Genomic DNA, 12275 nt, shown 5'->3' with positions numbered 1-12275 from the left:
AAGGACATGAACTCATCCTTTTTTATGGCTGCTTAGTATTCCATGGTGTATATGTGCCACATTTTCTTAATCCAGTCTATCACTGAGGGACATTTGGGTTGGTTCCAAGTCTTTGCTATTGTGAATAGTGCCGCAATAAACATATGTGTGCATGTGTCTTTATAGCAGCATGATTTATAATCCTTTGGGTATATACCGAGTAATGGGATGGCTGGGTCAAATGGTATTTCTAGTTCGAGATCCCTGAGGAATCGCCACACTGACTTCCACAATGGTTGAACTAGTTTACAGTCCCACCAACAGTGTAAAAGTGTTCCTATTTCTCCACATCCTCTCCAGCACCTGTTGTTTCTTGACTTTTTAATGATCGCCATTCTAACTGGTGTGAGACGGTATCTCATTGTGGTTTTGATTTGCATTTCTCTGATGGCCAGTGATGATGAGCATTTTTTCATGTGTCTGTTGGCTGCATAAATGTCTTCTTTTGAGAAGTGTCTGTTCATATCCTTTGCCCACTTTTTGATGGGGTTGTTTTTTTCTTGTAAATTTGTTTGAGTTCTTTGTAGATTCTGGATATTAGCCCTTCGTCAGATGAGTAGATTGCAAAAATTTTCTCCCATTCTGTAGGTTGCCTGTTCACTCTGATGGTAGTTTCTTTTGCTGTGCAGAAGCTCTTTAGTTTAATTAGATCCCATTTGTCAATTTTGGCTTTTGTTGCCATTGCTTTTGGTGTTTTAGACATGAAGTCCTTACCCATGCCTATGTCCTGAATGGTAATGCCTAGGTTTTCTTCTAGGGTTTTTATGGTTTTAGGTCAAACATTGAAGTCTTTAATCCATCTTGAATTAATTTTTGTACAAGGTGCAAGGAAGAGATCCAGTTTCAGCTTTCTACATATGGCTAGCCAGTTTTCCCAGCACCATTTGTTGAATAGTGAATCCTTTGCCTATTTCTTGTTTTTGTCAGGTTTGTCAAAGATCAGATAGTTGTAGATGTGTGGTATTATTTCTGAGGGCTCTGTTCTGTTCCATTGGTCTATATCTCTGTTTTGGTACCAGTAACATGCTGTTTTGGTTACTGCAGCCTTGTAGTATAGTTTGAAGTCAGGTAGCGTGATGCCTCCAGCTTTATTCTTTTGGCTTAGGATTGACTTGGCAATGCGGGCTCTTTTTTGGTTCCATATGAACTTTAAAGTAGTTTTTTCCAATTCTGTGAAGAAAGTCATTGGTAGCTTGATGGGGATGGCATTGAATCTATAAATTACCTTGGCAATATGGCCATTTTCACGATATTGATTCTTCCTATCCATGAGCATGGAATGTTCTTCCATTTGTTTGTATCCTCTTTTATTTCATTGAGCAGTGGTTTGTAGTTCTCCCTGAAGAGGTCCTTCACATCCCTTGTAAGTTGGATTCCTAGGTATTCTCTTTGAAGCAACTGTGAATGGGAGTTCACTCATGATTTGGCTCTCTGTTTGTCTGTTACTGGTGTATAAGAATGCTTGTGATTTTTGCACATTGATTTTGTATCCTGGGACTTTGCTGAAGTTGCTTATCAGCTTAAGAAGATTTTGGGCTGAGACGATGGGGTTTTCTAGATATACAATCATGTCATCTGCAAACAGGGACAATTTGACTTCCTCTTTTCCTAATTGAATACCCTTTCTTTCTTTCCCCTGCCTGATTGCCCTGGCCAGAACTTCCGACACTATGTTGAATAGGAGTGGTGAGAGAGGGCATCCCTATCTTGTGCCAGTTTTCAAAGGAAATGCTTCCAGTTTTCGTCCATTCAGTATGATACTGGCTGTGGGTTTGTCATAAATAGCTTTTATTATTTTGAGATACGTCCCATCAATACCTAATTTATTGAGAGTTTTAGCATGAAGGGCTGTTGAATTTTGTCAAAGGCCTTCTCTGCATCTATTGAGATAATCATGCGGTTTTTGTCTTTGGTTCTGTTTATATGCTGGATTACATTTATTGATTTGTGTATGTTGAACCAGCCTTGCATCCCAGGGATGAAGCCCACTTGATCATGGTGGATAAGCTTTTTGATGTGCTGCTGGATTCGGTTTGCCAGTATTTTATTAAGGATTTTTGCATGGATGTTCATCAGGGATATTGTCTAAAATTCTCTTTTTTTGTTGTGTCTCTGTGTTATTGCTGTTTTTGAGATGGAGTCTCACTCTGTCGCCCAGGCTGGAGTACAGTGGTGCAATCTCAGCTCACTGCAACCTCCGCCTCCTGGGTTCAAGTGATTCTTTCTGCCTCAGCCTCCTGAGTAGCTGGAACTACAGGCACGCACCACCACACCCAGCTAATTTTTGTATTTTTAGTACAGACAGGGTTTCAACATATTGGTCAGGCTGGTCTCAAACTCCTGACCTCAAGTGATTCACCCACTGGCCTCCCAAAGTGCTGGGATTCCAGGTGTGCGCCACTGTGCCTGGCCAAAAAAAAACTTTCTTTAATTTAAAAAAAACTATAAAGGAGGTTCTAGGCACATTCTAAGATGGCTGGGGGGGGGATTCCCCAAAATCTCATAAAATTTCCCCTAACAAGTTACATGAAAATTTAAAGACAGTTAGAAATTATAAATAATATTCAATCAGTCAACAATTATTTCTTTATAATCTAACATACCTACCTCTATATTGGGTACAAGTGGCAGAAACAGATTTTCTTTTTTTAAAGCTCAAGACATAATCCTGTCCCCTCAGGGACATACTGACATTCGGGGAGACAAGACTAAGAGACATGAGGCATTTAGAGAACAGCTTCAATATTAAACTGCAGGTAAGGATTACAACTACAATAGAGTTCAGAGGACAGACTTTTATATTCCTAACTCACTCATGATGTCTTTGAACACATATATACCTCTTATTTAAAACCATCTTCATACAGATTTTTAAAAAATAATTAAATCAAAAAAATTAAACAATCAGATTTTAAAAACATTAGTTTATATCAATTCACTCACTATCTATAGATGATTATACACTAGACTATTAAATCTTTAATGTCAAATTACTATATTGTTGACTTATTAGATTTAAAATCAGGAAGTACCAAGAACTGCAATGACTGGCCTTGCTTTAACAATTAATACTGATAGTGAAATTTCAGGTCCTCAAAGTAAATCACAATTATGATAGTGTGCTACAGAGGAGATATCAAAATAATTCTAGAAAATGGATCATTATCACATTGGATTTTAAATGAGTTACCAGCCTAGAGCTTAAAGTAGTGTCATTTCTACTAACCTGTTTTTTTTCAAATATACTTTTCCAATTCCACAGTAGGCCAAGCAATCAAGGCCCTCACTGGGGTAGTGTTCAATAATCCTCTTAAACTGGTTTTCGGCTTCAGATAATTCCTTGAATAGCAGTGAAAACAATGATCACTTACATACAAAGAGAAATACTGAAATAAATTTTATCTAAAGGTTGATTTTTTTTATAATATTAAAATAACAACTGCATATCCCCAAATTCCTGTGGCAAAATTATACCTCTGTGTTTCACTTTCTTAGGAATTATATAAATTTCTGATCATATGGATAGTCAGAGACACAACCAAACCAATCCTGCTGAACACATCAGACAATCAACCTATAAGCATTTACTAGTACGCACTAAGGGCCTGGCGTGTGCTGGCTAATACTAAAAAGAGTCAAATCGTGTTTTTGTTTTTGTTTTTTAAAAAAGGCTAATTATGGTGTAAACACACCATAACATAGATCCTATTAAGTGCTAATCCCTTGGAAGGAATGCCATTCCAATGACGTTGTCACAGTCTTTTGTGGCACAAGACGGATGAAAGCTCTGTCTTAAAAACAGCCCATTAGTAAACACTTAACATAGCTTAGAGTACATTCTTTTTTGAATATTCTCAACAGTGAAAAACCACTAAGTTGAATGAATTTTGTTTTTGGAAAACATCCAAAAGATACATAGTTCTAAGAAATACTGGTAACCCTACTGTGAGTGAAAAAAAGAAATGTCACTACAAAATGGAGCTTTGAGGCCAGTTCCAAAGGAGGCATTCTAAAAACGTTTGAAGCAAGGGCTGTCCTCTGATGAAATTCTTTTAAACATGTAAGTTCTACTATAACACATTTTTTTTTTCTAAATCAGTCTCGCTATTTTACATTAAATCACAAATGTAATAAATGATTTCTTCAATTCTAATAAGGTAAAATATGGTATTTATTATTATTCTGTCAGGAATAAAATGAAAATCATGAAGTTCTGTCTCCAACTGTCTCTTGGAAAATAGAATTAGAGAGCATTCATGGGAGACATTATTAATCTGTGACACTGAGATCAAGGAAAATGAATCTTGGGCACTGTCAACTTCTGGGAGAGAACAGAACGTAAAAGACTACTTAGATCCTCACTAGGTGGCAAGTTAGAGTTAAACCTTCATCTAGACAGGGAAAAATAGAGACCAAATTATATATTATACTTGAGGTAATTCTAGAGCATTTCAACATTTATAGCAAACTCAAAACCTCAGAAAGCAAAGTTATAATGCCAAACAGTATAGGTAGGTAAACATTCCAGGAGAGCCAGGCAGGAGCATGACTAATGGAAATCCTGGGAGCTCATGTCTATACACTGACTACATGCAGTTATAGGAAGCCTGCAATCTAGAAATAATACAATATCCAAGTACTTTCTACGTACAAATAAGAGATACTAACGTTATCATTGTTACCTTTGTTTTTCTAGGAAAACAGCATAACACGAAACCTCCCCAGGTCCATTCCCTCCTGGCCATCACTAAAGGCAGCCATTATCTTAAATTTTATATAAACATAATCCATATTTTTTCACTTTTTTACAAGATGCACAGAATTCATAAACAGTATATAGTACTGTTATGTATGTTTTCCAAAAAGTATATAAGTGGGATCACAATGTTTATGTCCTCCAACTTGCCTTTCCCTCAAGATTATGTTTCTGAAATCTATCAATCATGATACATTACATACTAATTTTTACACAAATAAAAAGTAGATTCCCACTGATTGCCTGGCAAAGCCTTTTTCTAATAGGAAACTAAATATTCTTTAAAAACACAAACTAAATTAAACTGAGATATTTCAGACAAAATTATCAGAAGGTACAGAGAAGAAAATGGGTAAAAATGAGAAAATAATTTTTATAAGATATGTCAATATCATTTTAATTGTTTATTACCACTGTTACAAATCTTACCTCAGGCTGTCCTATTCCAAGGAGAGAAATGGCAAGTCCATAGACGACCAAAACATAGTTAATCATGGCCAGGTTCAATTGCTGTCAATAAAAATGCCTCAGTTAAAAATCTGAATATAATTCTGCCCAATTTGCATCCAGTCACAACAGAAAAAGAAGTGTAATAGAATCTCACTAATCAATCTTACGAATCAATGATTGTCATAAAATCTCACTAATCAATATGATTGGCCAAATCAAATTAGAAAAGAGATTTTTGTTCCAATAAAGCAGTTATCCTGCTATTTAAAACACAGAATCACTGTCTCAGAGTTCCTTGAGGCATGATTCATAATAGATTAATTTATAATTAAAGTCATATTATTTTGCATATAAGCAGTACTAGTGACAGATTAAGACATTTACTTAGCTATTATAGGCATACCTCAGAGATACTGTGGGCTCGGCTCTGGAGCATCACAATAAAGCAAATATCACAATCAAGTGAGTCTCACAAACTTGTGGGTTTCCCAGTGCATATTAAAGTTATGTTTTAGCGATACTGTAGTTTATTAAGTGTGTAGTAGCATTACGTCCATTAAACAATGTACACACCTTAATTTAAGACTTTATTGCTACAAATGCTAATGATCATCTGAGGGTTTACTGAGTCATAATCTTTTTTTAAACTTTTTTTAAAATTATACTTTAAGTTCTGGGATACATGTGCAGAAGAACGTGCAGGTTTGTTACACAGGTATAACACGTGCCACAGTGGTTTGCTGCACCCATCAACCGTCATCTACACTGGGTATTTCTAGTGAGTCATAATCTTTTTGTTGGTGGATGGTCTTGCCTTGATATTGATGACTGCTAACTGTTCAGGGTGGTAGTTCCTGAAAATTAAGGTGCTGTGGCAATTTCTTAAAATAAGACAATGAAGTCTGTCATACTGATTGACTCTTACTTTCAGAAAAGGTTTCTCTGTAATGTGTGATGCTGTTTGACAGTATTTTACCCACACTAGAACTTCTTTCAAAATTGGAGTGAATCCTCTCAAATCCTGCCACTGCTTGATCAACTAAGTTTCTCATTTCAACAATATTCCAGCATCTTCACAAGGAGTAGATTCCATTTCAAGAAATGACTTTTTTTGTTCATGTATAAAAAGCAACTCCTTATCCCTTCAAGTTTTATCCTGAGGTTGCAGCAATTCAGTCACATCTTCAGGCTCCACTTCTAATTCTCTTGCTTGTTCCACCACATCTGCAGTGACTTCCTCCACTAATGTCCTGAACCCCTCAAAGTCATCCATGAGGGCTGGAATTTACTTCTTCCAAACTCCTGTAAATGTTGATATTTTGATCTCTCACATGCATCATGAATGTTCTTTATGGTATCTAGAGTGGTGATCCTTTCCAGAAGGTTTTCAATTTACTTTGTCCAGATCCAACAGAGGAATCACTATGGCAGCTATAGCCTTATAAAATATGTTTCTTAAATAATAAGACTTGAAAGTCAAAATGACTCCTTGATCCATAGGCTACAGAATGGATATTGTGTTACCAGGCATGAAAACAACATTCATCTCCTTGTACATGTACACCACATCTCCTGGGCAATCAGGTGCATTGTCAATGAGCAATAGTATTTTGCAAAGAATCTTTTATTCTAGCAGTAGGTCTCAACAGTGGGCTTAAAGTACTTAGTAAACCATGCTGTAAACAGATGTGCTGCCATTCATGCTTTGTTGTTCCATTTCTAGGGCTCCAGGCAGAGTGAATTAGCATAATTCTTAAGGGCCTGAGGATTTTTGGAACATAAATGAGCACTGGCTTCAACTTAAGTCACCAGCTGCATCAGCCCCTAATGAGTAATGAGCCCATCCTTTTTGAAGCTTTGAAACCAGACACTGACTTCTCTCTAGCTATGAAAGTCCTAGATGGCATCTTCTTCCAACAGAAGGTTGTTTAGTCTCCATTGACAATCTGTTGTTTAGCGTAGCCACCTTCATCAATGATCTTCACTAGATCTCGATAACTTACTGCAGCTTCTCCATCAGCACTTGCTGCTTCACCTTGCACTTTTATGTTATGGAAATAGCTTCTTTCCTTAAATCTCATGAACCAACTTCTGCTAGTTTCAAACTATTCTTCTGCAGCTTCCTCACCTCTCTCAGCCTTCACAGAATAGAAGAGTTAGAGTCTTGCTCTGGATTAGGCTCTGGCTTAAGAGAATGTTGTGGCTGGTTTGATCTTCTACCCAGACCACTAAGACTCTCTGCATCGGCAAGAAAGTTGTTTCACTTTCTTGTCATTCATGTGTTCACTGAAGTAGCACTTTTAATTTCCTTCAAAAACTGTTTCTTTGCATTCACAATTTGGCTATTTGGCACAAGAGGACTAGCTTTCTGCCTGTCTTGGCTTTCAACATACCTTCCTCACGAAGCTTAATCATTCTAGTTTTTTATTTAAAGTGAGAGACGTGCAACTCTTCCTTTCACTTGAATACTTAGAGGCCATTGTAGGGTCATTAATTGGCCTAATTTCAATATCGTGTCTCAGGGAACAGGGAGACTTAAGGAAGGGGGTGGAGATAACAGCTGGTTGGCAGAGCACTCAGAACACACACACACAATTTATTAAGTTCCCTTTCTTACATAGGCACAGATTGTAGTGCCCCAAAATAATTACAATAGTAACATCAAAGATCACTGATCACAGATACAGTGATAATGATAATGAAAAAGTTTGACATATTGTGAGAATTACCAAAATGTGACACAGAGACATGAGGTGAGCACATGCTTTCAGAAAACAGACTTGCTTGACACAGGGTTGCCACAAATCTTCAATTTGTAACAAATGCATTGTCTGCAAAGTACAATAAAGCAAAGCATAATGAAACGAGGTGTGCCTGTACTTTCTTCCTGGGTGAAAAGGTGTGACTAAAGATAGTTGAAAACCTTGATTCAGAGAAAAAGCCAGTTCTAATGACCCTAAACTATAGTCAAGGAGAGAATATAAACATGGATCACATACTGAACATACTCATGAAGTCTGAATTGGAGCAGTACCTGCTTCCCATAACCTGAAGTAGATTCAGCCAATCTCAGCAAGGTCTTAGGTACATTACTACAATGAGTTAAGCCCTTGGTTCTCTTCTGCATTCATCTGAGGTGCATTAGCATTGATAAACAAGTTATGATATGGCAAATTTACCTTTATTTTTTGAGGATCTAAACCGTTCAGCAACTCTGTAAAGGCCTGTGCAGCGCTGCGGCAACGCTGCTCCAATAAGGCCATATAGCCATCTTGAATTAAGCTTCTCAGCATTTTCATTATATTAGCAAAATCCTGGAAAAAAGAAATTCTATTTCAGTAACCTGAATCTACACATTTTTAATTTAAAACCTAAGATGCCAAGTTCATAGTAATATTTTATAACTAATGATAAAATGTTTACATCAATACCCAAACTACCCTTATTCATCATATTCCTTTCTCAGCACCACACTTTTAAAGTGAAAATGAAAAGGTACTGCTTTACCATCCTAATTGCAACACCTCTTCTGTTGCCTGTGACAAAGGTGGCTCATTTTACACTACATGGTACTAAGCCTCACTTGCTCTCCAGACTAAACAGACAGTATTTTTAAGTTTTAACAATATATATGAAAAACAACAGCCATCATTTAAATAAGTAAGTTGTTTGGGAGTAGAACAATTAGACACTTAAGAACATACAATCAATATTCTGATCACTACCAGATTTTAACAACTGCCATCCTGCTCTGAAACAAACCTTAATTCTAAGCAAGAAATAAATACTGTAATTGTTAACTGTACTCCTGCCTAACATATATTTGAATATAAGTAGATAAAATTACTGGGAGAGATAACAATAGGTTAAATGCAAAAGGAATAACATAAGGAATAAAAAATAAAAACAAAATTGCTATCATGTGCCCTTAAAGTGAGAAAAACTTTGTAATTTGAATACGCATTATAATTTGAATTCATATTTTAGTGACATGGGAATAGCTGTAAGTCACCAAAGTTCCACAAAGATTGGAGAGGCAAGGCTAGACATTAAGCCTAAAATCTCCTCACTCCTTGCTATACACGTGTGCGCCATTCAAAGGGGCCGCAAATGCAAATATGTATGTTGTATTCCTCACCATTCCTAACAATGAAGATCCAAAAGGAGGCCCCACTGCACAAATCACAGAGGAAAAAGCAGTTTGGTTACCCATTAACAAAAGCCTTCTGCTGGCTTTTTTTTTTTGAGATGGAGTCTTGCTCTGTCGTCCAGGCTGGAGTGCAGTGGCAGATCTCGGCTCACTGCAACCTCCACCTCGGGGTTCAAGCGATTCTCCTGCTTCAGCCTCCTGGGTAGCTAGGACTACAGGTGCACGCCACCACACCCAGCTAATTTTTTGTATTTTTAGTAGAGATGGGGTTTCGCCATGATGGCCAGGATGGTTTCAATCTCTTGACCTTGTGATCCGCCTGCCTCGGCCTCCCAAAATGCTGGGATTACAGGTGTGAGACCCTGCACCCGGCCTCTGCTGGCTTTTGAACCAATGAATCAAAGTTTGGCAGAACGCTCCCCAGAATATGCATAGAAAAGAGCAGCTTTCAGAAAAACTTAAAAGCTCGATGACAGCCATACTTGTTTTAAGATATGAACTTGAAGTTATAAATGATGATATACTAGCCCTACAAATACTAGTTATTAGCCTTGCATAAACTCATTCAATTTTAATCTTGTTCTCATTCTTTTTCTTTCTTCTTTAAAAGAGACAGGGCTCCCAAACTAGTGAGAGGCTTAAAAAAGAAAACAAAAGAAAATAATAAATAAATAAGACAGGGCCTTCCTATGTTGCCCAGGCTGGAGTGCAGTGGTTAATCCTCTCACCTCAGCCTCCTGAGGAGCTGGGACTACAGACACGTGCCACCATGCCCAGCTTTCTTTATCAGTCTAGAAATCAGATCCATACAGCCTCATGCTTTCATTGGAAGTCACTTCCCTCAATACGACATAAATGATCTGTCCTGAAAGCTCCAGCAGAGCAGGCCGAAATCATATCACTGTGCACCCAATCTCTCTCACTCCCCAGCATATGGAGAGAGCCTCAATCAAACTGTGTTGAATGAACAAACAGAGGCTCAAAAACAGCGATCATATTTATTTAAATAGTCTTTTCATCTTCACAGGCTGTCATCTATTTAAGTATTTCATGGTGTTTAGAGTCAGTAAAAATCAATGTAAAAAGATATAATTTAAAATCTCCAACTTTAAGAAATTCTCAAAAATGTTTTTAAGCAAATGATTAGGAATCTATTTTAGTTCTTTGTAAAATATCTGTTATGTATACCTAAAAAAAGATCCACATGTTTTGAAATGAGTATTCTATTCCATGTTAATGTATATTTTCCATCATGAAGTAACGTAAAAAGAATTTTATATACAACATTATCTGATTAAGTTAAATCATTTAAAGAATAAAAGTTTGCCCTCTAATGATTTTAGAATAAGTATAATGAAACTGTGTTTAAATCTTTTAAAAATATTTAAAGTTAATACTACTGTTAACTCTTTGAGAAGCAAATAATTCCACAGTGCTAATCATTAGTTAAACCTCTAGCTAACGTAATTATCAAGTTAATATTTAAATTAGTGATAGATTGGATTCTTAGCAGTCATATATATTAAATGATATGTCTATAATAGCTGAGTGCAATAGCTCACACCTGTAATCCCAACACTTTAAGAGGATTGCTTGAGGCCAGGAGTTTGAAACCAACCTGGACAACACAGTGAGACCCCATCTCTACAAAACTACAATATAATACAATAATTATATAAAAAAAACTTAGAGATGTACATGATTAGAACCTTATTCATGTGAACAATGTTTTGTTCAAAGAGTTTTGCTTTTTCCATTGGAAAAGCTTCTCCATTACCTGGTGTGCAGCTCTGGAAGATTTAGAAAACTGTTTCTCCAAGATGTTCTTCAAATCTGCTGGTAAAGTCAATGGTGAACTAGAACTAAAAGAAAAAAAGCATTTTTAAAAATCATTTTAAAATAAAAGTTCTACTCATATAAAGAAAAAATAGGGCCAGGCACAGTGGCTCATACCTGTAATCCCAGCACTTTGGGAGGCCGAGGTGGGTGGATCACCTGAGGTTAGGTGTTCGAGACCAGCCTGACCAACATGGTGAAACTCTGTCTCTACTAAAAATACAAAAATTATCCTGGCGTGGTGGTGCATGCCTGTAATCCCAGCTACCTGGGAGGCTGAGGCAGGAGAATTGCTTGAGCCCAGGACCGAGATCTTACCACTGCACTCCAGCCTGGGCGACAGAGCAAGACTCCATCTAAAAAAAAAAAAAAGAAAAAAAATAGAATCTGAATATTAGTTCGCTCTCATCCCTCCAATGTGACAGATAGAAGAAAAAAATATATTTACTGAAGGCCATGTAAAATAGTGAGTAAATGGTGAGCCATACAAGTTGGCCATTCTTTGGGGGGAATTGGCATTTTGGCAATATTTCTATTAGAAATCTCTAAATCCAATGCAATCTCAATAAACATTCCTATAAAATCAGAGGTGGAGGGAAACCAGATGAATTGATTATAAAGATGATATGGAAAAACAGCTTTTGAAAAAAGAGAAAAATTAAGGGGTATTTGCCTTGATCTGTAGTCACTAGTAACAACATGGGCCTAAAACAATAAATGTGCCCAATAAACAGTGCAAAGATGTTCAATGTGATGGGAAAATCTAATAATAAGATACAAGCATTTCAGAAAGTCTGACTCCCTAAGTTGGTGAGAGTAAGAAAATCTGAGGCACTCGATGTGGAGTTTTCTGAAAGTACTTCTGACATCCAATGTGTAGATTTTCTCCAATACCAAATATTGTCATTTTTCCGTATCAATTCAACTGTCCAACACAAAATGAGTGTGCAATAATGCAATTCAGTTCTGATACTAACTCCCAGAGTTAGCGCAGACCTCACAGGGTAAAGAATCAGTCCCACCAGACTGCCCTCACTTCAGCTG

At 36.9% G+C, this 12275-nt stretch overlaps 1 protein-coding gene across 10 annotated transcripts in view; it reads right to left on the bottom strand.

The window, feature by feature from the left end:
• The window catches only part of TTC3 (tetratricopeptide repeat domain 3), a 129865-nt gene that overhangs the window by 59180 nt on the left and 58410 nt on the right, over positions 1-12275 (bottom strand). For all 10 annotated transcript variants that reach the window (NM_001320703.2, NM_001353936.2, NM_001320704.2 and 7 more), the window contains 4 exons: positions 11173-11257; positions 8425-8559; positions 5225-5305; positions 3266-3378 (listed from right to left, as the gene is read on the bottom strand). In NM_001320703.2, the coding sequence (NP_001307632.1) occupies positions 3266-3378; positions 5225-5305; positions 8425-8559; positions 11173-11257 (414 nt within the window). The remainder of the gene's footprint in view (positions 1-3265; positions 3379-5224; positions 5306-8424; positions 8560-11172; positions 11258-12275) is intronic.

This window comes from Homo sapiens, chromosome 21 (genome assembly GCF_000001405.40).
Source record: "Homo sapiens chromosome 21, GRCh38.p14 Primary Assembly".
In the NCBI taxonomy this organism is placed as follows: Eukaryota; Metazoa; Chordata; class Mammalia; order Primates; family Hominidae; genus Homo; species Homo sapiens.
Note: the sequence above shows the minus strand (reverse complement) of the source record. Positions and strands in the feature narration are given on the sequence as shown.